This window comes from Homo sapiens, chromosome 8 (assembly GCF_000001405.40).
Source record: "Homo sapiens chromosome 8, GRCh38.p14 Primary Assembly".
Lineage (NCBI taxonomy): Eukaryota > Metazoa > Chordata > Mammalia > Primates > Hominidae > Homo > Homo sapiens.
In genome coordinates this window covers 51,868,786-51,895,851 of record NC_000008.11, presented here as the reverse complement: position 1 = coordinate 51,895,851, position 27,066 = coordinate 51,868,786, and the positions used below count along the sequence as shown (strand labels likewise).

At 36.8% G+C, this 27,066-nt stretch overlaps 1 protein-coding gene across 6 annotated transcripts in view; it reads left to right on the top strand.

Moving 5' to 3' along the window:
- Nucleotides 1-27,066, top strand: part of PCMTD1 (protein-L-isoaspartate (D-aspartate) O-methyltransferase domain containing 1) — an 81,612-nt gene that overhangs the window by 3,335 nt on the left and 51,211 nt on the right. Inside the window, exon 1 of one of the 6 annotated variants that reach the window (XM_047421323.1) lies at nucleotides 1-27,066. This exon is cut by the window's left edge and continues 2,525 nt beyond it. The exons of the other annotated variants lie outside the window; for them this stretch is intronic. The gene's annotated coding sequence lies outside the window, so the exon portion shown is untranslated. 6 annotated transcript variants of the gene reach the window in all.

Below are 27,066 nucleotides of genomic sequence, written 5' to 3'. Positions count from 1 at the left end.
CATTTTACTGGCAATTGTTAAGGATGATAATTGGATTCATACCTAAATGGCGTATCTGCCATTGATTATCTCTCGGTCAACGTAACATTGGATGTTGGATGTGAGTGGGTTTTATAATTAGGTGACACAGAAATATTTCAGCCCCCTAAAGACGTTTTTAGAATATGGTAAGATTTTTTCAGCTGTTGAAGTGGGGAAGGATTGTGAATCAAACACTATGTGTATGTGTATTCTCAAAAATTAATGAGAGGTATTGCTGATGGGAAGACATAGCATATTTTCCAGTTTAACCTGAAAATCCTTTTTGGAACATTATGCACGGGTAGCCAGAAATAACTCAACTTTATGTCTTGATACAAGACATGCATCAGGTATGATTTCTAGAGCTTAAAATATTCTTGGAGTTTAAAAACTAATTTGCATAAAACACTCTTCTGTGTTTTCTACTGAGCACTCTTCAGTAACTTGCAGGCTCTTAAAAACCTTTAATGATAATCATGTTATCAATTGATGAAGTCAGTTCAGTTTATAATCTAAAGTTATAATGAGCATTGAAAGAGCTGTAGAATGTGAAATGCTGTGAAGGTCTGTCTTGGTGACTTTCACAAACTGGCATCTCCAACTCTCCCTTCTTGGGGCCTTTGTTTGTTTTTCTCTCTCACTTCCTGAAGTATAGATAGATGTTGCCTGTAGGTGTTACCTTAGGTTTAGTTCTTTTCCTTTTTAGAGTTTGTTCTCTTCTTTGGCAATCCCACACAGATCCGTGGTTTCAACTGCTCATTCCCCTCACCCTCTTTGCTCAGGCTTCCACTTGTGTATCATCAGCCTTATTTTCATTCCCAAGCTTCAGATTTGCCAATGTTGTTCTCCCTGATCAACTTAGTAGCTGTCATTTTGTAATCTTGAATCAGTAGATTCAGAATTAAACTTTTTTTGCAAGCCTGATTCTTCTTGCTTGTTTATATTAATGACCTTTGCATTTTCTTAGTCATCTAGACTCAAAATCAAAAGGTCATCCTTGGTTCTTCTCTCTCTCCTTTTCTTAGAATTTTTTTTTTTTTTGTCATCTTACTGCATTGTGGTTCCTGATTTCTTCTATCTTTCTTCAGTTCTTCCAGCAGCCATATACACAGCAAGAGACATTAATCTCTAGGTTTGTCATTCATTGTGAATACTGCTTATTAATTGTCCTAAATGTAGTCCTGATCATGTTCCCTGCCTGATGACAAGCAAACAAAACAAACCCACTTGGGTGTTTATGTCAGTCAGTGTGCTGAATCCTTTGTTCTCATGTGGTCATTATAATTTATATTATCCCCATTCTACAGGTGAAGAAATTGGAACTTCATGATCTTGAAGGAGTTGTTAGTAGGTAGAAGAGCTCTGGGATTTGAATCCCAACCATGTCTTCTTCCAAGTCTGTGTTCTTGACCACTGTGCCTCTGCTGAGTGGCTCCTGATCCACTCTGGAAGAAAGCCCGAGTTCCTCAGTGTTGCCTTTCAAAACTGCATTATTTGACTTCAGTGCCCCTTTCAAAACTTATTTCTTGTTTTAGTTTAAAATATTAAGTTACATTCTTTCTGTCCCAGCAGCTGTTCCAAAAAGAATGTAAACTTCAGTTTTACTTTACTTTTTTGATTTCTTATGCATTTCCATTTCTTGGAATTTTTTTCTTTCTCCCATCTCTGCCTTTAGAAGTCTTCCATGTAAAAGTCTAGTTTATACAGCGTACACCGTATTTCCCTAGAGCCCCCACCTCCCAGTCTGTGTAGTACAGTAGTAAAATCTCCTGCACATTCATACAGCTGTTTAACCTGTGATGATACTTTGTACTCTAAATTTGTTTTGAGTACTCTAACAGTTGTAATTGGATTATATAAGATGCTTGAAGCACAAACTATGTCTTACTGTTCCTTGTGTCTTCCAGTGGGTGCTCAGGAAGTATGGGTAAATAAGTATGAAAATGATCACTGGTAAACTACCCCTTTCATTGGTATTTAAGCAGTATATTTGATTTTAGTTTCTCTCTCTCTGTCACACACACTAGCTTGTTTGAGTTTTTAATTGTGTGTGTCCACAACAGAACTAAATTTCTTGTTGTAGGCTATCATGAATTGTTTTCAGATTATAAGGTAATTATATTGTTTATTTAAGACAAATCAGTTTTGTCTTTCCATGTGCACATATCCTTTCTTGGTACTGTATATAAATTTTTAAAAAAATTAATGATTTAGTATTTGAATTATTTTCCATGCTGTTGAGTCAGACAAGTTTTCTAATGAGCTGCAATATTCTCATAAACTCTCTGATCTTACAGTTTCTTTAAGCTTGCATAGATGTGAAAGATGGAGTACAACTCTGTCTATACTTTAGTATTGTTTTCTTCCTTTTGGTGATATCAGGAAGCTCCAGCTGTACAATCAGCTGAAATGCCCTCACACAGATTATACATAATTCTTACATTGCTGAAGAGTTCATATGAAATTTCAGACTTTTTAAAAATAATCTATCGATGTTAATGGTTATCATGCAGAAGTTACAGTTTTTTCTTATATCTGCCATTGTGCCCTGTATTGTTTATAGTTTATCTAACTAATAAGTAATTAATTCTTGCTTTATAAAGTAAAAATATAATTCTGTTAAGAATTTTGAATGTAGGATATCTTGGTGATGGGAAGAGACGTTTTCTTTTTGGAATGTTAAAATGCATGCTTATAAAGGAATGAGACTGATTCTCAAACTAATCCATTTGTAGTCTACCTGCCCTTAGCTTTATAAAATATTAAAGTAATCATAAATACTTCTTTGAAGATACAAATTGTAAGTGAGCTTAAAATAATTCACTGACTTTAAAAATAGTTAATATATCACATGTTGCAAATTTTAAGTGATACAAAAAATATATAAACTGAAAATGTATCTTCCTCAGCCTCCCATTTTCCCCCCTGGGATGGGAAGTAGTCACTTACCTCTGGAATGATATAATGGAAACTATTTTTTTATTTGTATGTACAATGAAATATAAATAAATTTTCTTTCCACTTACATAAAGATGAGGTACACTGCTGTTTTTTTCACTTGGATTTTCACATAACCATATATCTCTATGAGGAGATAAAGAACCACTTCATTCTTAAAAAAACAATTTCAGCCTCAGAGTATATTATAGATAGCTACAGCTATAGATTGTATTTCAATTATAATTGATTTAACTATATTCCCTACTAATGAGCATTTAGTTTCTAACTATTACAACCGTTGTGACAACACTTTGAAGGAAGAAAAGTAAAAAGTAGGTGGTCTTTTCTTGTAGGGGAAAATAAAGTTTGAAAGCTGAAATGGGCTTTTTGGTTCCTTTTCTGACCTGATGATTAGTGTGTAAGTGAATGGAGAGAACTGTGGGGTTATGTGAAGACATTTGCTAGAAGCCATAGTTGACAATCGAGTTGGAAGAGTTGGGATGGTAGTGGTGATGGGTAGCAGCTGCCATGACCAATGGTCCACTCTGGGCAAGGGTCAGCCCTGCATGTGTTAGCAGTTCAGTGTTTAGAAATGATACGTGGTATCTGGAGTTTGGTGTCTGGATCTATGGCCTATGCTAGTATATTTAACGTAGGAAACCTATGCAGGGGATGAATTTAGATCCCTTTGTGTCATCTAGAAGGAAATGTTGTGGCTTACAATATTGTATGTGGTTATTAATCTTTTTATTGAAAAATTATTGTATATTCAGAAATAAGATTTAAATTACTAAATTAAATGGAGTTAAACAAGCAGGCCCCCATCATCTGTGTCTGCTCCTCATGGTTTGCTGGGGTAATGGTTTTTTAACAGTTTGGTATGAATGCTTTCAGACTTATGTATAAACAGAAACAATATATTCGTGCATATTAAAAATGTCAGTCAGAATTCTGTTGAATAACAAGTACATGGAATGAATGGTAAAAGTCAGAATCTTTAACAAGAGAAGAAGGTGGTGGTGGGATACCAGGTAATTATATAGTGAATGTTCTTTGATTCCTTTAGATCCAAGGGGGCTGTAAATACACACTGTTAATTGTGTAAACTGTACTACCTATTTAGCCTCTGTAGCTAGTTTATCAGGTTATTTCTACAGATCATTTAAGGTTTCTGAAGCTATATATATATATATACATATATATGTATATATATATTTTTTGTTTTTTTTTTTAACTAGTGGCATATAATTTACTGAATAATGATATATTCTCTTTATTTTCCAGGCATTCTATGCTAAATTTGGGATTTGAGTGTTTTTTTGTTTTCTTTTTTTTGAGACAGGGCCTCGCTGTGTCACCCAGCCTGGAGTGCAGTAGTGCGATCTCGGCTCACTGCATCCTCCACCTCCTGACCTCGAGCAATCCAACCTCAACCTCACCAGTAGCTGGGATTACAGGCATGTGCCACGATGCCCGGCTAATTGTTTTTTTCTTTCATTTTTTGTAGAGATAGGTGTCTCAGTATGTTGCCCAGGCTTGTCTCAAAGTCATGGGCTCAAGCCATCCTCCTGCCTTGTCCTCCCAAAGTGGATTAGAGGAGAAAGCTACCTTGCCCGGCCTCATGTCATTTATTTTTAGGGTGGTATGTGTATGCTGCCTAGGTTCATATGGTTTAGATTTATTTTTAACAGTGGTTCATTTGCACTGACCCATTTCTGAGCTCCTGCGATTCTCTTTGGTCAATTATACTTCCCTAGATATTGTGAACATAATAAGTAAAAGCTCATTTATTTGATTTTGCTTTTTTCCCTGTATAACAGCAGTAGAAATTTATTGTGGAAAGACTAGAAAATATGGATAAAGAAAAGGAGAAACAGGTTAACGGGGATGTTATCACCTGAGGCTCGTATGGTTTTTAATTCTGAGGGACCTCTGTGTTAATGAAAACACCACTAGAAATGTCCAGCTTTGTAAGTCCTTCTGCCATGTAATCCTGTGGCAGATGTATTTGGTGATAGAAGTATGGAAAATGTGAGTGCTTGCATTTTCTCTGACCTGGATGCATCTGTGCTAGGAAGTGGTGTTTTAAGTAACCAAGGTTGTGTTAAGGCCTTGACTTAATGTTATTAGGGGATTTCTACATTTATACTGCCAAGCACATGGGTGTTTAGCTGTTGGTTATGGGAGCCACAGGTGTGCTGGTGGATGGATCAGTCGGTGCTTCTCTGTCACTGCTACTGCGTAAGTAGTGCAGAGGTTTTGTTCTGATTATGTATCATTATATCTTTGTAGTCCATATTTAAAATACTGGGCCTTGAGTAGAAGGAACTATTTAGAAATGTCATAGCTCAAAAAGCAAATGCAAAACAGTCTTTGTTTTAGAAGGATGGTTTATCCCTGTTACTCCTGTAAGTCTCGGTATTCTAAATTTTCATGTTTTCATTGTAGTGTCTTGGCGGCTAGAGCGGATTTTAAATTTTCTGGTCAGTCTTCATACTCAACTGGATAAGAACAAATTTTGGAACATGCAAAGGCAGTCACTCTAATTTTAGTTTCAAGGAAAAGCCTAGCAGTGATATATACTGATTTACCAGGCATTGTAAATCCCATTGTGAAAGAATTATTTTAAATACATCTAAACCGTTTTTAATAGGCTTGACTTTTCCCTGTAAATAGAGTAATTTGAACCTTTATTCTTTTATGAACCAGAGAAATTAGAAATAGATGTAGGCATTTCTACAATGATCTATATAAATATCTGTGAATATAACCATTCATGCAGTTGATTTGGCTTTAAAGAAAAGGGAGGTAATCACCATGGACTTAAAGTAGTTTAATTACCTCATTATTTATGACAAAAAGGCTTTATATAAGCTTTTTTTTTTTTTTTTGTTAAGGACTTGTTCAGTTATCACTGTTTAGTTATCACTGGTTTTATTGTATCTAGGCAGCACAATAAAATTAATTCACTTCACACTAATATATATTTTTGTGTGTACACACACACACACACACACACACACACGTATATCCTTACATATGGCCATTTGTGGTGCACAGCTCAGGAGACACTATTAACATAGAATCTAATATAAATGACATTCCCTTTACTGCTTCAGGAAAACTGACACTTTATGTGGGAATAGTGCTTCCTGGCATTGTGTAGTCAGCATGAGACCCTGTTAAATTTGATACTTTCCACATTTTCACATTTTCGTATAACTTTGCATCTTGTCAAAGAGGTAGGAAAGTATTGTTATTCCCATTTTATAGATGCATGAACTAAGACTCAGAATGACTTCAGTTTCCTCAGTCTGCTTTATTTTCTATAAAATGATGATACCAGACTCAGCAATCAACAGTGTTGAGGGACACAGGGTTTGGTGTCAGATAGATCTAGAACTCAACCTCAGTTTTGCCTCCTACTAGCTGTAAAAGCTTAAGGAAGTTATTTAATCCCTTTCCTTCGTTTCCCATCCCTAAAAATAATGCTGTTACATGAAATTTTATGAAGACTTAAATGAGTTAATATACTTAAAACACCTCAAAGCTTTATGCTGTAAGTGCTCAATTAATGATAGTTGCATTAATAATCAGTAATAAAGGTTATATATTATTTTGTGAGTCGTATACTACTTTTCAGAGATTATGAGGTCAGTTAACACTTGATAGAAAGTGACGGACCTAACCTAGAAGCAATATCCGTTTTAAGTAGAGGCCAAACTTGGACTGATAACCTCATGCTCTCTTACCAATATTGTAGGCAGTGAGTGAGGAGTTAACAATAACAACAAAAGGCCTAGGAAAAGCAAGGAGAATGTGTCCTATATAGTCAGGGACAGACTTTGGAGTCACACTAGACCCACCATAGTTGTGTGTAAAATAAAGCAGATTTGAATCATCTAGTCACACAAAAAAGAAACGAGAAGTTACTGCAGTGAGAGAGCAAAGCAGTTCCAGATGGTGGAATGCTTTTACTGTGTGTGTTGGTCTCTGAGGTGCTCGTGACATACCATTATCATACTGTTCCTCATAATGACCCTCAGCCACTAAGAAATGGTTGAGTTATGCGGGATAATTTGCTAAGACTGTAGAACTAATACACTATATAAAGACTTTCATTACTTTGTTTTTAATCTTTGCAACTTAAAGGAGTATTTTTCAGTTACCAGTAACATTAATTTGTTTTACTCGGTGCTAGATAAAAATGACTAAATTTGAATGTGCACATTATTTCATTTGATTCTTAAAACTAAGTAGGTCATAGAAAGGTTAATGGCCAATGGTAAAATAAAGGCTATGAGTTCAGACTTTCATGCATATATTTGATTCTGGGTCTCTTTCTCATTGTTAACCCAAAGCTTATTTATAAAGGTCAGGGCCTGCTTGTTTGTTTTCATACCCTTTAGTGCCTTCTACTGTGGGAGCATTACGAAAATCAGGTCCTGCTCCTAAATGTCTTAATATTTTGTTATCTAGTGTATCTTCCCATTCATTTTTTTGTGATACACAAAAGTCATTTACCTGAAGGGGAATCTATTTTTAAAAGGATGCTCCCTCTTGAGGCCAACCTGGAATCCTCCTGCATTGAATTGACAATTTTGAATCTGCTACTATATCCTGTTGGATGTCAACAGCTAAGGAAAGGTATGGACCATCATATACAGGGTCTTACTCTATTGAACTGAACTTCTGTAAGCACTCAGAATGAATCTATATGGTAGCTTTCTACTACCCTAAAAGTAAGGTCAGGAGTTAGGAATGAACTCTAAACAGTTTTAAACTTGAAGTTTATATTTAGGCACAGTTTCTTCTAATAGAGTAAGATATTAGAAATTATGAAAACTTGGCCGGGCACGGTGGCTCATGCCTGTAATCCCAGCACTTTTGGAGGCCGAGGTGGGCGGATCACGAGGTCAAGAGATTGAGACCATCCTGGCCAACATGGTGAAACTCCGTCTCTACTAAAAATACAAAAAAATTAGCTGAGTGTGGTTGGCACGTGCCTGTAATCCCAGCTACTTGAGAGGCTGAGGCAGGAGAATCGCTTGAACCCGGGAGGCAGAGGTTGCAGTGAGCTGAGATCGTGCCACTGCACTCCAGCCTGGTGACAGAGCAAGACTCTGTCTCAAAAAAAAAAAAAAAGAAATTATGAAAACTTTTTTGTGAAACTGTTCTCAAATATTGGGACTGAGCGTACTCTTTTTTTTTTTTAATTTATTTTAAACGAGGAAAATGATTGCATGGCTTGATAATTACCATACCAAATGATTGATAGTTTTGTTTTTTTGCAGTTTCTAGTTGCTACTTAAAATTGAGTTTCAGGGTGTTCAGTTAGTTTATACATAGTTATTGCTTTAGTTAGAGGATTTTAGACTATCTTAAGAATATAACCTTGCGTTATTTACCTGTAAGAGAAAATAAATTCCAAGTCTGTCAAGTAATAATAAGCATATTTCTTCTGCTGATCCTTTCTGCCATATTGTTTCTTCACCTGTATGCTGGATGAGAAATGGGAGAAGGGATGGATTTGGGCTGCCGGTATACATTTTAAGATGGATTGTATCTGATTCTCTATGGAACAGCATTACCCTGAAGAGTAGGAGTCAAAGTTTGGGTAGTGTGCTAGGCAAATAGTAGCCCCCCAAAGAGGTCCATGTTCTAATCCCTGGAACCTGCGAATATGTGACCTTATATGGCAAAGGGGAATTAAGGTTGCAGATGAATTAAAGTTGCTAATCAGTTTAAGATAGGAAGATTATCCTGGATTATCCCGATAAGCCCAGTGTAATCATAAGGGTCCTTAAAAATGGAAGGAGGAGGCAGAGCGAGAGAACCAGAGAGACAGCAGAAAAGGAATCAGCGTCATGTTTCTTGCTTTGCAGATGGAAGAAAGAAAGGGCCATGAGGCAAGAGAGAAAAAAAAAAAGCAGATGGACACTAGACACTGATGCGAGGGAACAGATTTCTCCTAAAGAACCTTCAGAAAGGAACAGTCTCCCCAACACCTTGATCTTAACCCAGTGAGACTTGTATCATGAAGCCTGTGTCAGACTTCTGACCTCCAGAACTATCAGATAATAAACTTGTGTGGTTTTAAGCCATTAGGTTTATGCTAATTTGCTATGACAGTGATAGAAAACTAATACAGGTAAATATACTGTGGCCATTTGATTCCTTATGGAAATGATTTCTAAACAGCCTCTCCCCAACAAAAGATTAAGATGACATTTATAAAACTGATAAAACTAGTGCAGCTGTGTTTAAATGGGGGTGGCATTGAGTCCTGCCAGGTGAGATTTCTTCCCATTTTTGTAGAATCTTGGGGGCACCTGTGGATTTTTGGAGCTGCTTTCTTTATTGATAAAAGTTGTATACTGGGCAGATGAATCAAAATGGCATATAGGAATCCCATTGAAATTGGGATAACTACAGGTATGATCATCTTGAAGTTCATTGCAGTAATCTAGCAAAAATTGATAGGGGTATTGACAAAAGGGCTTTTCACTAAGGGGAATGGGAGTAATTAAAGAGTAGCTGGTCTGAAAGGTGAGGGGCTATAGTTTTAAATATTCTAAATTTGAAATGATAGAACTTTCCTCCCCAGTGAAATTAATCTAGAAACTTACTGAATGCACTGGAAAATTTCAGCTAAAGAGGATGATGATTTTGAATAAGTCGAACAGGGGAAAGGAAAAATAGCTGTTCTGAAGTCTCTTCGGCAATATGTTGGAGGAAGGGACGAAATTAACAGCTATTTAAATTGCAGAAAAGCAGACAGAAGTTGAGGTCCTTGTGGATTTGCTGCAAGGATTCTTACCAGTTTGGAGGAAAGAGCCTTGTGCTTTAAGAAACTGTACATAGTCTTTGTTCTTAGTAGGAAAGAATATCCTTGTGCATTCACTGTAAGTACACATTTAAAAATGCATTTCCAATGCTCACTAGTTGTTAAAGGAGAAATTATAGTAATGTCATTGGATAACACAAATTACAAAAAATTGCTATCTTTGAAAGTGTTTTTGTTTTTCCAAAACACATATAACCTTCTGACCCAGCACAAACAACGTATGCCCCTGTAGAGACATAAGGCTGTCTATCCGACAGTTACCACTCTTCTGTGGTGTTGAGTGTATTGCATTTTAATACAGTGGCAAAGTATGTGATTTATTTAGTGTCATTTACTGTTGCTTTATTGTAAAATTGTTTTTCTGCAGATAGCTCCTTTGTGAATTTGTATTTTTAGTCTGCCTACCTATGCCTACATGAAATTTAAGGAGTTTTTCAGTGGTTTTATTTTGTCATTTCCCATGTGTGTTAATAATCATGTAAGTTTATAGGAGAGAAGCAAGGGCACCAGAAAGAACATGTGCTTCAGTTAACAAGTTCTTTTCAAGCCGACTGCAGTAGATGAAGCCACTAAGGCATCCTCCTGTCTAAAAGTTTGTATGATATATTGTCCTAGGCAGGAACTTGAAGATGGCAGAATTGGTAACTGCCACCCTCAGTACTCTTAGTCAGGGCTGGCGTCTAACTTCCCCTCTCTGATCATTGTGACAGCTCTCTTAACACAGAAAATGTGGTGACAGGTGTTTAAAATTTTGCCAAGAAGCGAAGATATCCTCCCCGCCCCCCAATACTTAGAAGTTAAAGTTAAAAGGATGAGAGAATGTTTGTGGGATATAGTAATTTAAGTTAAATTGAGGAGGTTGTGGATGCTTTAGCCAAGTATCAGTATCTGTTGTATTTTAGTTAATTTTATTGCTCAACTGCTGTCTTTATTTCGGTGGCTTGTGTGTAGTCTTTCTGGTTTTCAGGATTATATAAATCTGGGTCCAGTCAGGAAAGAGAAATCATGCAGTAATTTGAGCAGAGAATGTTTAGTGTAAAGGATTATTTACTGTAACAGAACCAGTAGGAAGTACAGAGAGTGCTACAGGATATAGAAATAGATGTTAAGAAACAGCCACTACTTACAGAACTACAATTGAGCACCCAAAGAAGAGGCCCATCCCAGGCTGAGAACAGGTCTTGTTGGAGAGGGTACCTCAATGGCTTATTGGATGGCAGAGAAGTTGATGGAATTTGCCAGAAATCTATCCTCTAGGATACCATAGAAAGATGTTCATAGAGAGGCATTTTGCTAGAGGTTGTGTTCTACAAACTGTCCAAAAGAGAGTGCTGGGGAAAGCTGTCTATTGTCCTGCACTGCAGCATCCTCGTGCTGGGGAAGCCTGCCAAGCATTGCACCAGGCCGGGAAACAAAGTCCTTTCCCCTTGCAGTGTTTTCTCCAGTGCTGTCTGCTGAACATTACCTATCAGTTGGGATTGAGACAGTGGGTATTAAAAAGACTATTTCTTTGTGCCTAATCCCTGGTGGGATCAGGGCAGCATATTACTACACTAGGATTTTCTTGAAGAACATACTTGTTACTTTATTCCCTTTTGCCATTCAGAAACTTTTCTTTTAGGTAAAATGATGGTACATTCCTTTTGACTTAGAGGCCAATTCCTGCTTTTGTGTTTGATTGTTCCCAGTCAGCTGATAGTGGCTATTTCCTGCTTGCTTCCGGTATTCTCTCATACTGAAATATAAAAATGGAGCCATAGTCCTGGACCAAATATTTAGGCACTGCTTGTTTTTACCACACTGACTCAGATCAGTGGCTCTGTCTATAGCTTTAAGAGGTACACCTGGTTTATTTTAATAATATAAGGCTTTAACACTGTCTCAATCTCAACTGATAGGTAATGTTCAGCAGACAGCAACACACCCAAAGAAGGCATTTTATCTCAGAAAATGTCACATTTTGTAGCTTTTATTTTAGGATGTATTGAAAAGAAACTCAAGACACGGAGCCACAAATTCTTTCAGTATGCCCTTGAACAAGTAGTTTTGTCTGATGCATGACAGCGAACTAGATAATTTTATGATTTTCTTTATAATTATTTCTGTTGACCTGCTTTCACAAATATCAAAGTGCCTATTTTGTTTGGGTTTATTTGCACGGGAATATTTATGAACTATGTCTTTGTTTTTGTAAATGCAAATGGTTTTAAAGTTCTGGAATGAGGTTTTTAAATGTCAACAACATAATACGACTGATTTTTACTTGGCCTCATTTTGTTGCTTTTGTCACAGTAATTCAACTGCAGAGAATTCAGATGCCAAAAAAAAGCTCTTGTAACCTTATGCTAGCCTAGGTCTGTACATCAAGGGAATGATTTAGAAAATACACATACCTTGGTTGTTTTCAGTTTGACTTTCTGAACACGTTTTAAAAATATCGGGCATTTGTCAACCTTTTTGTACCTCCTTATACTTAATAATATTTATAAAACTGTTTACTCTTTTGTGAGATTTACTGTGGTTTAATATTGCATTAATAATTAAGAAGAAAATCTGTTGAATTTCTTTGCTCTCCCTGTGTTTTTGTGTGTGTCCCTCTATTATTATCTATATATGCATATATATACATTTTACTCTTAATAACAATCTCCCCACTTGCTAGCCTTAGGACACTGAAGTATCAACTCTTTCACCTTTAATGGGAACTGTGGCATCTGTACTACAGTCTTTGCTACTTAATTTAATTCAGGCCATGGAAAATTACAAGTTTAAATACTTTATAATCTGATGATAATACTTTTGGTTTCATAGGTTTTATTCCATCTAGCTATTATATTCCTTGTTGATTTGCTCTCATTTTGAACTCTGAAGCATTTACCTTACTTTTTTTGTCTGTTCTTTTTTTTTGAGACGGAATCTCGCTGTGTCGCCCAGGCTGGAGTCCAGTGGCGCGATCTCAGCTCACTGCAAGCTCTGCCTCCTGGGTTCACGCCATTCTCCCGCCTCAGCTTCCTGAGTAGCTGGGACTACAGGCGCCCACCACCACGCCTGGCTAATTTTTTTTTTTTTTTTGTATTTTTAGTAAAGACGGAGTTTCACCGTGTTAGCAAGCATGGTCTCTATCTCCTGACCTCGTGATCCGCCTGCCTCGGCCTCCCAAAGTGCTGGGATTATAGGTGTGAGCCACTGCGTCCGGCCGTTTTTTATTTCTTTTTTTTTTTTTTTAAGTATGCTATTCATAACTAAATTGTAAGCTTTTAAAGACTTGCGTTTTCTCTCCAATGAAATATAATACCCCAAACAGGCTATGTTAATGTCCAGTGGAGTGTATAATTTGTCAAGTACATAGATATATGTCTTCTGTTCTTTTCATGATCTTAAATAACTGAGAAACTACACTCAGTTACTCATTAGCAGGGATCTTGAATAATATCTTTGTTATAAGGCATTCAACTAAGTGTCAGAAGTAAACAAGTGACTAGCATATAGACCCTTACTTTGAAGAGGCCACAGTCAAGTGGGTGGGAAACAGGATAATCACTTTGTGGAGAGATGATACAGAGATACATAGGCGGGTGTTTGAGAGCTTTTGAAAGAAGGTACAGTTATGAATTGAATGTTCATGTCCCCCTAAAAGTCACGTGTTGAAACCCTGACCGCCCCCTACCCCATGCCCAGTGCAGCTGTACTTGAATACGGGGCTTCCGAGGAAGTAATTAAGATCATAATGGTGAGGCCCTGATCCAATAGCGTCATTTTAAAAAGTGACACCAGAGAGCTCCCTCATGCTTTTTTGTGTGTACAAAGAAGAGGTCATGTGAGAACACAGCAAGATGGTGACCATCGGCAAGCCAGGAAGAGAGGCCTAGAGGCCTTACCAGAAAGTGATTCTGTTGGCACTTTGATCTTGGACTTCTAGCTTGAGAAAATAAATTTGGGTTGTTTAAGGCACCCAGTCTATGGTACTTTGTTATGACGCCTGAAAAGACTAAGGCTTATAAGTGTTTTGGGGTTGGACTTAGAGATTTCTAAGAGGAGGGGGACTCATTAGTGGCATCTGAGTGAACAGGGAGAACTTTCTAGGTAGAGACTTAATGCATATGCAAAAACATGGATGCTTGAAGAAGTTTATTGTGGTTAAGGGAACTTCAGCAAAGGCTGTGGGAGGAGAGATGGCTGGAGGTGCCCCTGAAATAGTATTCAGGGCTCAGATTAGATAATGCACTTTTGAAATCGAAAAAAATGGAGCCCAGATATGAGCAAAGTTCTGTGGCTTTTGACTTACACCGAGGTTTTAAGCCCAGCTCTAAATTTTTTTCTTTGTAAAATGGGTATAATAAAACCTACCTTGAAGGTTTTTTTGAAGAATAATTAAAAGACAATTCTAAAACAGTTGGTTGAATGCCAGGCAACTACTAAGTGTAGTAATTATTAATTAAGTTGGACAAAATCAGATCTGTTGGGCTCCAAATGAAGGTTGAACTTACTACACTCTGCCTGTCTGTAGATGTAAATATAGATGCTATCATATTTGTAATATTCTTGTCTAATGGGATGGGATTAGGATGACAGTCTGGCAAATTGAGGCGTTTTGTCTTATGACCTGTTTTTCTGTGGAGGACGAAGAAGGACCCTTGTGGAGCCTAGTCTTGAGGGGTTGTTGGTTGTAGTAGTGGTAATGAATTTGCTGTGCAGGTGGGAGCCAGAGGTAAATAAACACAAGAGATATTGCTGGGCATTATTGAAAATCCAGTTAAGCTTGAAGAATATAAATGTTTAGTGGCACCACCAACACAGGCACTGGATTTCTTTCTTAAGTAACACTTCACAATATAAAACAGTCCATGGAGAAGAGAGATTATTGGCTTGTTCCATGATCAGAAGTTTGCAAGATGAGTGAAGCAGAAAGTTAGAATGAAGGATTGAGAGTAATGAAGACTCAGTAAGTGAAGCAGTGTTCGTGGGGTTGATTTGGGAAGAAGATGAGAGTAGGTGTTAGCCGGTTGTAGCCCATGGGCCAAACTTGGACTACTGTCTTTTTTTGTGTGGTCTGCAAACTAAGAATGGTGTTTACTTTCAAATGGTTGGAAGACTATTTTATGACATGAAAATGATATGACATTCCAATTTTAGTGTCCAGAAATAAAATTGTATTGGAACAAAGCCATACTCTTTAACTTTTAAGTTGTCTATAGCTACTTTTGCCTTACAACAGTGGTGTTCAGTAGTTGGGACAGAAACTATTGCCTGCAAATCCTAAAATGTTTATTAACTGGCCTTTTCAGAAAAAGTTTGCTGATCCTTGGGGTAGAGTACTAGTGACATTGACTGTAGTGGCAGACAACAAGCAAAGTAGACATAAAATCAGGTCAGAGAAAAAAGTAAGGATTCAGGTTGGACAATTGGGTGATATAAGTCCTCAGTTAAAGGTGTCATAGTTGTTCCTTTGGAGATTGAAAAGGTTGTTCATGTACGTTGAGGATGCCCCTGATTATGGTATGAGTTGGGGAGTAGAGAAGACTACAGTAGAGATGCTAGAGTTCCCAATAAAGGTGGAAGAGTTGATATTTCCTAAGGATAGGAAGTGGGGGATTATTATTAATATGTAAGAAAACATAGTAAGAGATGAAAATACAAAACATGTTTTCCTATACCTTTTTCAATAAGTTTTTTTTAAAAACATCATTATGAATCTTATAGGCCTAAAGTTGTCTTTCTAATTTTGCATTTTAATTGCCACTGAGGTTGGGCATAATTTCATATTTACTGGTGGTTTAGTAATTCTTCTGGCAAATACCTATTGTCTCCTCTGCCCCCCTCCCCTCTTTTTTTTTTCATTAAAAGGAGACAGGATCTTGCTGTGTTGCCCAGGCTGGAGTGCAGTGGTGCTATTGTAGCTCACTGTAACCTCAAACTCCTGGTCCCAAGGGATCCCCCTGCCTCAACCTCCTGAGTAGCTGGGACTTCAGGTACATGCCACCACTTTGCCTGGCTATTTTTTTTTTTAAACTTTTTTTTTTTGGTTAGAGATGATGGTCTCGCTATGTTGCCTAGGTTGATCTCTAACTCCTGGCCTCAAGCAATCCTCCAGCCTTGGCATTCCAAGGTTCTGGGATTATAGGCATGAGCCACTGCACCTGGCCTTTGCCCTTTTATTAAAAAAATTAAAAATGTTTCTTTGTAAATAATTCTTATAAATTTGGCTATCAACCCTTTGCCACATGTTGCAATTTTTTCCCCCAGTTTGGTTTTTGTATTTTGATGTTTTACTGTGTGCTTTGCCAGATAGAATACATCATTTTTATCATTTTTACGTTTTGCCTGTGGCTTTTTAATTTAGAATGTCTTCTCTACCTGAAATGAGATACATAGTTGTCTCACTTTTTTATTGGTTATTTTATTTTGCTTTGGTTGCTCAGAGGCAGGTGTTTTGTGACTGAGCTTTAATTGAGGAGAACCTGTTGACTTGTAAATTGTAAGTACTCAGTTTTCACATAGTTTCATTTTCCTATTAATCTTTGTTTTCCTTGACCTGATTTATATATGAATTCCTATAGCCCACCTCAGATTCTTAAATGATAGTTTGATGGGACAATCATGAACACGAATATACTGACTTTAGTTTTAATTTACCATTTTCTTTAAAGCTTTGTTGATTTGTTATAGTTTGTTCCTATGATTTGGTTTTGGCTCTTATAAGTTTCCTGTTACATTTCCAACTTTATTTTTTTTTAGTCATGCCACTTTTTTCTAACTTAAACTGAGAATAACAATATGACATTCATTCCTAAGGTGATTTTTCTTTTTTTTTTTTCCCCTCAAGTGACAGATCTAGGAGTGAGCTTTAGGACATATATACTGTGAAGGAATTATCTTTGCTGATTGCTCAGTTCTTGCTTTTTTTCTTTTTTCTTTTGAGACACAGGGTCTTGCTCTGTCTCCCAGGCCAGACTACAGTGGCATGACTACGGCCCACTGCAGCCTTGACCTCCCAGGCTCAAGCAATCTTCCCACCTCAGAGTTCCGAGTCGCTGGGATCACAGGTGCACATTACCACACCTGGCTAATATTTTAAATGTTTTATAGAAATAGGGTCTCACTGTTTTGCCAGGGCTGGTCTCGAACTCCTGGGCTCAAGCAGTCCTCACACCTTGACCTCCCAAAGTGCTGGGATTATAGGCATGAGCCTTACTCATAGTTTTAAAAGTCAAATTGTCTTTCATCTGTTTCCTGTCTGCACAAAATAGCCTTCTCTTCCATTAATCTGCATATTCCCTTAGGCTTTATTTGTTTTTGAGACAGGGTTTCACTCTATCATCCAGGCTGGAATATAGTGATGTGATCACAGCTTGCTGCAGCCTTCACCTCTTGGGCTCAAGGGATCATCCTACCTCCATTTCCTGAGTAGCTGGGACTATAGTCACGAGCCACCATGCCTGGCTAATTTTTTAAATTTTTTGTAGAGATGAGGGTCTCACTATGTTGCCCAGGCTGTTCTCAAACTCCTAGGCTCAAACAGTCCTCCTGCCTCAGCCTCCCAAAGTGCTGGGATTACAGGCATGAAGATCTTGCTTGCATTTTAACTCACAATTCATGTAGTTATATAACTTCATTTTGAAATAGTTTCAAACTTAAAGAAAAATTGTGAGAAATAGCACAAGGAACTTCTTCCTGTACACCAGGGGTGTCCAATCTTTTGGCTTCCCCAGGCCACATTGGAAAAAGATTGTCATGGGCCACACGTAAAATACACTAATGCTAAGGATAGCTGATGAGCTAAAAAAAAAAAAAAACCAAAAAAAAAATCTCATAATATTTTAAGAAAGTTTACGAATTTGTGTTTGGCTGCATTCAAAGCCATCCTGGGCTGCATGTGACCCATGGGCTGTGGGTTGGACAAGCTTGCTATACACCGTTTGCTTAGAGTCACAATGGCTTACATTTATGTATCTTTTTATTTTGATAGAATTTCAAGCTTGTAGAAGAACTGGCACAACAGTACAAGGAACTCCAGTATACCCTTTGCTTAGATTCATTAGTTGCTTGCATTTTGATGCATTTGCTTTATTACACACACACAGAGTTTTCTGCACCATTTGGAGTAGTTTGGAGTAGAATTTTTTTTTAACTTTAGTACATATTTTCCAAGAACAAGGATGTTTTCTTAGAGAAGCGCAGTATAGTTATTAAAATCAGGAACTTTAATAATGATACAATGCCATTTATATATAACCTGTATTCATATTCTGCCACTTGTTTTCAATAATGTGTCCTGTAGGTATCTTTTTCCCCCTTAGTTTATGATCTAGTCCAGGAATAATATCACTGATGTGATGAGTGTCCATCTCAGGGCATATATCAGTAGGTGCATTGGTTTGGCCTATGAAAAGTAAAGTAAAGTAAAGGTTCCTCTTCAAAGACTTTCCTCCCCATGTAATTAGGAATAAATAGTAACTTCTCTTAAAAGCAAAATTAATTCAAAGACCTGTACTAACATTCTGAAATATCTGCTAGCCGTAATAAAAAAATTAATGTACTTTATGTTCTTAGCTCCCACAATTTAGCCTAAATATTTGCCCTAGCATGCTTATACTGAATCCAAGCAAACATTGTCATAGCCGTTCCTCTTCTTTATTTAAAAGCGTTTTTACCTTTCTCAGCATCCTGCAAGTTACTTCCTCCTTCCTTTGTTCTCCTCTACCTTTGCCTCTTTTAAAAAGTTCTGAGTTACTATCCAATCAGGACAGATATAAAATGTAAGGTCCTGTTGCAGCCAGTGAAAACCGGACAGAGCAGTAAAGTGACCGCATCAGGTTATAAATGACCCTGTCTCCTTTGTTCGGTGTACTCTCATGGCAAAACTGCCGGCGAGTGTACGCTTTCTACAAAAAGTAAAAAAATGACCTTGCTAAAAAAATTAAATTTATATTCAAATACTAGTTCTTAACGGCACCAAGAAGCAAGCATTTCATACAGGCCCAATGTTGGTGAAGTTAGTTTTGACTACTTCAGATGGCATTCATTGGGTTTCTCCATTGTGAAGTTACTATTTTGTTCCTTTATTAATTGGTAATTTGTGGAGAGATACTTTGAGATTACGCAGATAATCCTGTTCCTCACCAAATTTTCACACACTGGTTTTAGCATCCATTGGTGTTTTTCTAACACCATTATTTCTTCTACATTTATTAGTTGCCATTCTACTGTGAGAGCTTTTCCTTCTCCCCCAACTTATTTGTTCATTCATCATTTAGGTATGGACTCTTTGATTCTCATTTTATTTTATGACTATTATCATCAATCTCTTGTTTAGATTCCCAAAATGTATTCAGTTTGGCCAACAGAGGACTCTTCAAGCTGGCTTCTTTATCTTTGACATCTCATTTTTTGAGGACTTCCATATTTTGTCTTAAGAAGGTGTTTCAGACTCATATTTTCCCTGCCTGAATTTTAGAGTCAGCCATTTTACCAAGGAACCCTAGTTTCTTTTCTTTGGCTAGGAGAACAGTATTTAGAAACCCAGCTCTGGGTGCTAGATTTTCTTATGGTTACTGGTGGGTTTCTTACATCTGCCTGTGTATTCTAGGCCTTCATAAGCAAGGAAAAATATGTATATGTGTGTATTTCTGCAGTTTTCTATTTTTTTTTGTGTGTGTGTTTATGTATATTTTAAAACTCAAACTGTTGACTTCCCACTGACTCCTCCATTTCCATCCATCATCATAGGATATAGTCTAGGCTATACCCAATCTTTCCATGCTTTGTTTTCCCTCAGAAACACCATGAAGCTGCTGAGATCTTGTTGAAAATTGGCACCTAAAATCAAAAGTATTTTATGCGTATTTAGTAACTGTACAAAAATCTCCCGGTTTTATCAACTTGACTAATGTTTCTTGAAATGGTAATATGTTTGTTTATGGAAGGATTAAGTAGTTTCTGTATTAAGTAATAGAAGCGACACCTATTGAGCATGTGGTAGGCATCAGGGACTATTGTAGACAGTTTATATATATTACATCAGTAATGATATAATAGTGATAACACACGCATGCGTGCACGCACATGCACACACACACACACAGACACACACACACACACACACAAACACATTTTTGAGATGGTCTTGCTCTGTTACCCATGTTGGAGTGCAGTGGTGCAGTCATAGCTCACTGCAGCCTTGAACTCCTGGGCACAAGTGATCCTTCTGTCTCGGCCTTCTAAGTAGCTGGGACTGCAGGTATGTGCCACCATGCCTGGCTGATTCTTAAATTTTTTTTGTAAAGATGAGGTCTCTCCATGTTGCCCACGTTGGTCTCAAACTCCAGTTGTCCTCCCTCCTTGGCTTCCCAGAGTGCTGAGATTATAGGCATGAGCCACTGGTCCAAACACCCACACTATATGATCCTTTACTTACGTGTAATTTTTATTTATGTTGAAAAGAGCACTTTCTGTTAGACTATGACTTATAATGAACATACAACTTGATATGAAATTATGATTTGATATACTAATATTCATTCTACAAATGATCCTTCTAAGGAGTAGCAAGTGAATTAAGTAACATTAAATTATATTCCTACTGATATAAATCCTATTGAATTGTGACCAGTAGAATTTTACATTTGTTGAGTGTCGTGACTTACCACCATAACCTGTGTGGATTTAGTCTAGATAATACTTACTAAATTGAATTATATAATATGTGTTTGGAGGTTGAAAATAATTCATGAAGTTTTTCTGTGAAGAGAGTGAATCCCTTAAGAATAAAAATAATAGGAAAACCTGACTTTGTTTTCTATAGTGCTTCACTTTTTGGTATTTTTTTCCTTAAAATGTTCTACAAGCTGTCATAAGTTTCTGTCATATTAGTTACTGTAAGTAACTGGAATATTGAAATAAAGAAATTCTTTTTAAAAGAAGCATTATGTTTACTTAGTTTTAAGAAATACAAGCAAATGAATACATTAGATCTTTTTGGCCTTGTATTCCTGTGTTCTAATATTTGAAGTAGGTTTTCTCTTTTCTGAGAATATATAACTTGCAACTAACTTGTGTCATCTTGAACAAGGCAACTGCTGAGGCTCAATTTCTTAATGAAATGGAGTGATCTGTTCTGCAGTTCTTACCTCATAAGAGAGCTCTTTAAGTTGAGTTTAGCTTCTGGAGTATGGTCCCTGAATCCTCATACTTATTATAGTTCCTGAGGCATAAACAAGTGATCAGTTTTTGTTTATTGAATGGGGAAAACATCACATGAAATCTTTTTGTATAAGACACTTAAAAATTTAAATATCCAAATGCTAGGTAATGCTGTTGAGTAATTTTTTATTGAAAGCATTTTAAAGAGCATTTGAGAGCACTTGTTGAATTTAAAATATGAAGTGTATTTTGAAATACACTGTTAATAAAGGTAATTTTACACTGTTTGGCTGCTATTTACAGTTTGAAGACCAATTAATATGAAATAATTCTTTATGATTTTAAAGGTCTTTAGTTTTATGAATTTATTATAACCAAGTTGAAAGTAATTTTTAAACAGTTTATTGAAAATACAGTAACCATTTAAGAGACTGGTTTTCTGGAGCAAAGACTATCTCTGGGACCTGAAACCATTCTTTGAAATTCTTTCCCTGGTGTGCCTGAGTCTTTCTTAACTTGGTGGTTCCATGTTGAAGGAGTTGTTAAATGCAGCCCCGGGGGCGGGGGATGGGTGGGGTGGTGGGGGAAGTTCTGAACTGTAGTTTAAAAAGCTTTCACAAACATTTTGGTTACTCAGTTTGGATGGTGTTCTTTAAGTGAGTTTTATTGACTCATGGAATCATTGATGACAGATTAATAATTTAAGGTTCAAGTCTGGCATTGCTATAGAGAAATACCTGAGCATTTGGCAGGCCAAGGTGGGCGGATCAGGAGGTGAGGAGATCAAGACCATCTTGGCCAACATGGTGAAACCCCATCTCTACTAAAATACAAAAAATTAGCCAGGCGTGGTGGTGCGTGCTACTTGGGAGGCTGAGGCAGGTGAATTGCTTGAACCCGGGAGGCGGAGCTTGCAGTGAGCTGAGATTGCGCCACTGCACTCCACCCTGGTGACAGAGCAAGAGTCTGTCTCAAAAAAAAAAAGAAAAAGAAAAAGAAAAAAAAAAGAAATACCTGAGCCTGGGTAATTTTTAAAGAAAATAGGCTTGTTTGGCTCATGGTTCTTCAGGCTTTACAGGAAGTGGGGTACTGACATCTGTTTGGCTTCTGGCGAGGCCCCAAGAAGCTTTTACTCATGCTGGAAGGTGACTCGGGAAGAAGCAGGTTACATGGCCAAAGCAGGAGCCAGAGAGCGTAGGGGGAGGTGCTGTATACTTTTAAAATACCGTATCGCAGGAGAACTCACTCCCTATCATGAGGACAGCACCAAGACAGGAGAGATCCACTTCCACGATCCAATCACTGCCTGCAATTGGGGATTACAGTTCAACATGGGATTTGGGATGTGACAATATTAAAACTATATCAGTAACCCTCCAAGCACTTTAGAGCCTATACCATTACTATGATTTGATGATGACAGTATATTTTCAAGAATTGATTAAACTTTCTCTGGTTCATTCAGAAAAGTAGGGATAGAATAATTTGCTCCAGTAAATGAAATTAAACTATAGTATCATTTTTTAAGTGTGCATTTCTCAGGGGTCTCAGACTTTTTTTGTTATGGTTTCTTCTTACAATATTTTTAGTAGTGCATAAGATTTATGAATAAGATTGAAATATCCCTTTATTGTATGGGAAATCCAGAACAAGTAATTTACTCTTTCTCAGTCTGTTTTTATTTTTATGGTGCAGGTAATACTTTGCATCCTGCCTCTATTCCTATGGTACTTAAGAAATTGTATGAAATGATGTTAAAGTGCTTTGAAAACTTATGGATAATACTTTAGCTATTTTGTTTTATATAGCTTTCACTTGTGTTCATCCGTAGATAAAATTAGCATTTTGGACTTTGGAAAGATGCCATTTTATAAGTCCAAAAACTTTGTAGTTAACCTGTGTATGTCTTTGTAAATAAGTAAATATGCTTAGATTTTTTGAAAGTTCTTAAAGGAATCATTGAGATAATTTGAATTAATGACTTTATTTTGCAGGTGAAAAAACCAAAGCCAGAAAAGATAATGACTTAAAATCATATAGTGTGACAAGGCCAGTTTTGCATTCCACAGTACATTAATATATGGAAAGAGTACATTTGATATGAGCTCATGTTTTGGTTTATGGTATATTCATGGAAGGGAACAGATACAGATCATCTGAAGCGATGAGTAGTCCCCAGTTGTGCATTTTTGCTTTGGAATATTCTTATATTCGAATATTGTTCTTTATAAATTCATAGCTTTTCAAATAAAATAAGCCCCACTATGAAATCCTGACCCAGGAGGAGCTGAAAATGTGTGTTGTTTTTTTCAATCATGCTTCCCTGTTGATCTTAGTACACATCCTAAGAACTATTGGCAGTTAATGAACATATTTTTGTTTATAGACTTTTCCTGAGTTAGAGGAGGTGAACAACTTGTTTTAAAGGTTTTTCTAGGCTGCAGTTCCCATAAGGATATATATTTTAAAAAGTGTTAAGGATGGTTAGTGTAGCACTTCTGTTTCTTGAAAAATCCAGATAATACTAAGCAGTAATCCTTAAATCTGAGGCCATTATTCCCTGAGGATTAATTTTGTTAGCTGAAAGATATGTGGATCTTTGCATGTAGAGGGTGTTGGTAATAGGCAGTTGTGTTTAGGGAGATACGTGTGGTAATATAGGTTTGAAAAAGTCTTGTGTTGAGTAAAAGGGAGAGGAGGAAAGGCTTTGGGGATCCATAAAGTCCTATAACTTTCAAAATAATAAAATTTCAGCTAGATGAACCTCATATCTTGTCCTTTAAAGTTTTATATATTACTTTATCACTTCAAATATTATACGCTAAAACTGTCATAGAACTACCATCTACTGTTTCTCTATCTTGGAGTTCACACTGTTTCCAAGCCAAGTGGAATATGAAAATTAAAAGGATGTGGAGGAAGTTGGAAGCTACATCTGTGAATATAGGCATCTTAAAACTCACCATGTATCAAAATGTGTAATGTGGATGTTTCCAAGAGAGCTTCTTTTTAAAAAATTATATGTAGTATTGAATTGGAGGGGTAGGGGAAGAAAGATAGTCAAGAGAATATAGAAGAAAACATATACTTCATGTACTTCGACTTTGCTGTAGCCGTTGGGAGCATTGAAATTTGACAGGACTTTCCAAAGTAGAAAACTATAACTTTCATGTGTTTTTACACTTAGTCAACAGTTGTTTCTTAGATGTTCGCTAAGACCATGCAACTGTGATAAATATATTAAATATAAGATGTTATTTTTCTCTTCAGTGAGTTTATAGTCTGGACAGAAAAGATAGGTGGAACCAAAGAAAACTTTACAAGACAATTTTTGCTAAATTATGTAACAAATGCTCTATTAGAGGAAAAAGTATTAGCCAGGGCAAAAGTTAGCTAGTGAGATGGAATTAAACCAAAGAGTTTTGGTATCTGACTGCTGTCTTAGCCCAGGTAAGCTCATCCTTCCTTCTGAGACTCCCTGTGAGCACGGAAGGGCAGCTACTCTTAATTTAAGCCCTTCAGCACAGTTGATGGCCCAGAGCATGGCAGAAGATAACTGTGTTGTCTTTTCTTCGCTTTAACTTCTCTCTTGCAGTCATCTTATGTGTGAATGTAAGTTTTCTTCCACAGACTTCTGTATGTACTGTCCTTGACTGTTTTTCTTTTAGACACCTCTCACTTCAGGATTTCCATTTCCACTCTCTTTAGTTCCTCTTTAAGGAGGTCAGTAGGCGATAGCTTTGCTAGATTTGAGAAGCAGTGTTTTTTTGTTTCCCCTTTCCAGTCTTCTGTGCTTAAAAATGAAAGTTTAGAATGTGCCCTTTCTGTCACAGAAATGAAAGAAAGTTGGTATTATTGGACCAGCTATATGTTAGAAACTTTATATTCAGTGTACTATTTAATCATCACAAATTTATGATGTAATTATTTTCATTTTATAGATAAAGAAACTGGAGATCCCCCATTAAGTAATTTGCCTGAGGCTGCACGACCAATAAATGACATCAGATGCTCACCCCGGCCCGCCCCCTGCTGCTTCATTCTTCCTTTGAAGCTGAGAGTACTAAAAGGAAAAAGAAAAAATGGGAGATTGTAGGAGACAGCTGAATTGAACATCTTTTCAGCTAAAAGTTAATGAAAAGTTTAGTTTTGAATTATGCGTCAGGAGCCTCTGAGCAAATTGTTCTGTGTCAGAGGGTTTCATAGCTTCACAGACAGGATTTGAGTTGTGTTTCAGTTATTCAAGGTCTGTGAGCTTCTCATATGATCTTGTGACTCTTCATAGAAGTATGGTAAAGAACTAGAGCACAGTGCTAGGTATATAGTAGGCACATAGGAAATTGCTGCTATATGTTATCACTACTTAAACAAAATTTAAGATTTGTATTCATCATTGAATATAGAGTAAAGTAGATGCTCTTTGCAGCTTTTGGCAAGTGAGTAGTGAACCTTAGTTTAGCCATTTATTTTCTTTAATAATTCTTTATTTATATTTCATCATATCTCTTTATCAGCCCCATCACTGAGAAGAATTTTTTCACTGTATAGTTGCCTCTGCACTTAAAGCAGGCTTGGTCCATGAATCCCATGACAAGAGCTTTGAGGACATGAGGAGCATTCTTTGTTCAAACATACTGTGTTTTCCTTTGGATCACTGGTGAGTAAGCTTCCCTCTAGAGCTGGGTGAGCTTAGTCCTCAGTTTTGCAGAGAAAGGAGCAGCAAGGAGCAGTTGACTGCTTCCCTCTGGGTGCTAGGAGGAAAGGAAAGTGAGTCAGCATTCATTTTGTTCTCCTCCCACCTTGCAACATCTGTCTGCCATTGGTCTGCTTCCTACCTCCTTTAACTTGTCAGTGCTTAATCCTCCAGAAGGCATCCTTAAACTGCCTAAGAGACACCATAATATTGTATGGGGCCTTTGACAGTTCTTTCCTAAATAGATTTAAGTCACAATTCTAAATTTTGGAATAATAGCAAGAAACGTTTGGAACACTTTGCAGATAGTTTCAGGTGTGTATATGTGAGTGTACCCTTTATTTTCTCTGCAGCCCTTACCTAACACACAGCAGAGAGAAAAATACCAAGGAATGAAATTGTGTTTTATGAGTAAACATGATGACTTCCTTCTCAAACAGACATAACTCTGTAACTGCTTAAGTTGTTGAACCTTTTATTCTGTTCTTACACTTGATCTTTTTCTATATTTACCTTTTTCGTCTTTCTCTCAAATTCCTTATTTTGGTTTTATTGTTCAGTGCAGGACTTGAACACTCCTAAAATTGTTTCTTCTTTGTGGAAAAGAAAATGGCAGGAGTGAGGCAGTAAAAATTGTGACTGAAGTAACAGAAATGCCAAGGCATGGACAGCAGCCATTACTAGATAACTAAAACTTGATTATATTGAATTATAGATTTGACCAATGCTGAAATAGCATGGAAATTAGAGCTCTGAGGGACCTTAGGAGCTGCAGAATATAGCCTTTTTATTTCACAGGTGAGGAAACGACATTTTGGGGATTTGGCCGGATCAATACAGCAAAGTTATCTGTGGAACCGTGGCTACACCTTGGTCTCTTGACTTGTATTTGACTTTTCCATGATTGAAATGAGATTATCTTAGAAGTAACAAATGGCAGACACTGATGACCTAATGCTACACTGGGTTTTTATTAGTGTTTATTTTACTTTCATAAAAAAAATTGTACATTTCAAGTTAGGATTATTATTGAATTATCACAGTATTCACTACAGACGTCGATTTACGAGCTTCTCAAGTGTACATCAATTATAATCAATTCTAATATTGATTATATTGATTATTCATAGTCTAACATTGGGGGAATTGGTTACATCCTGCTGTATCCATGTGGTAGAATATCATACTTCTGGATTTGGAAAGAATGTCTCATGGTATTAGGAAATGCTTATTAAGTGAAAGTCCTGAACAATATATACAGTATAATACCAGTCATATGTTTAAAAAAACGAAGTATATAGTTCCTTAAAAGTTAATAATGACAGTGGTTCTTTGAATGCTAGCATTATGAAAATTTTAATTTTACTTTATTTTCATGTTTTCTGCAAAGGCACATTATCATCAAATCAGTGAGTATAATAAAAAG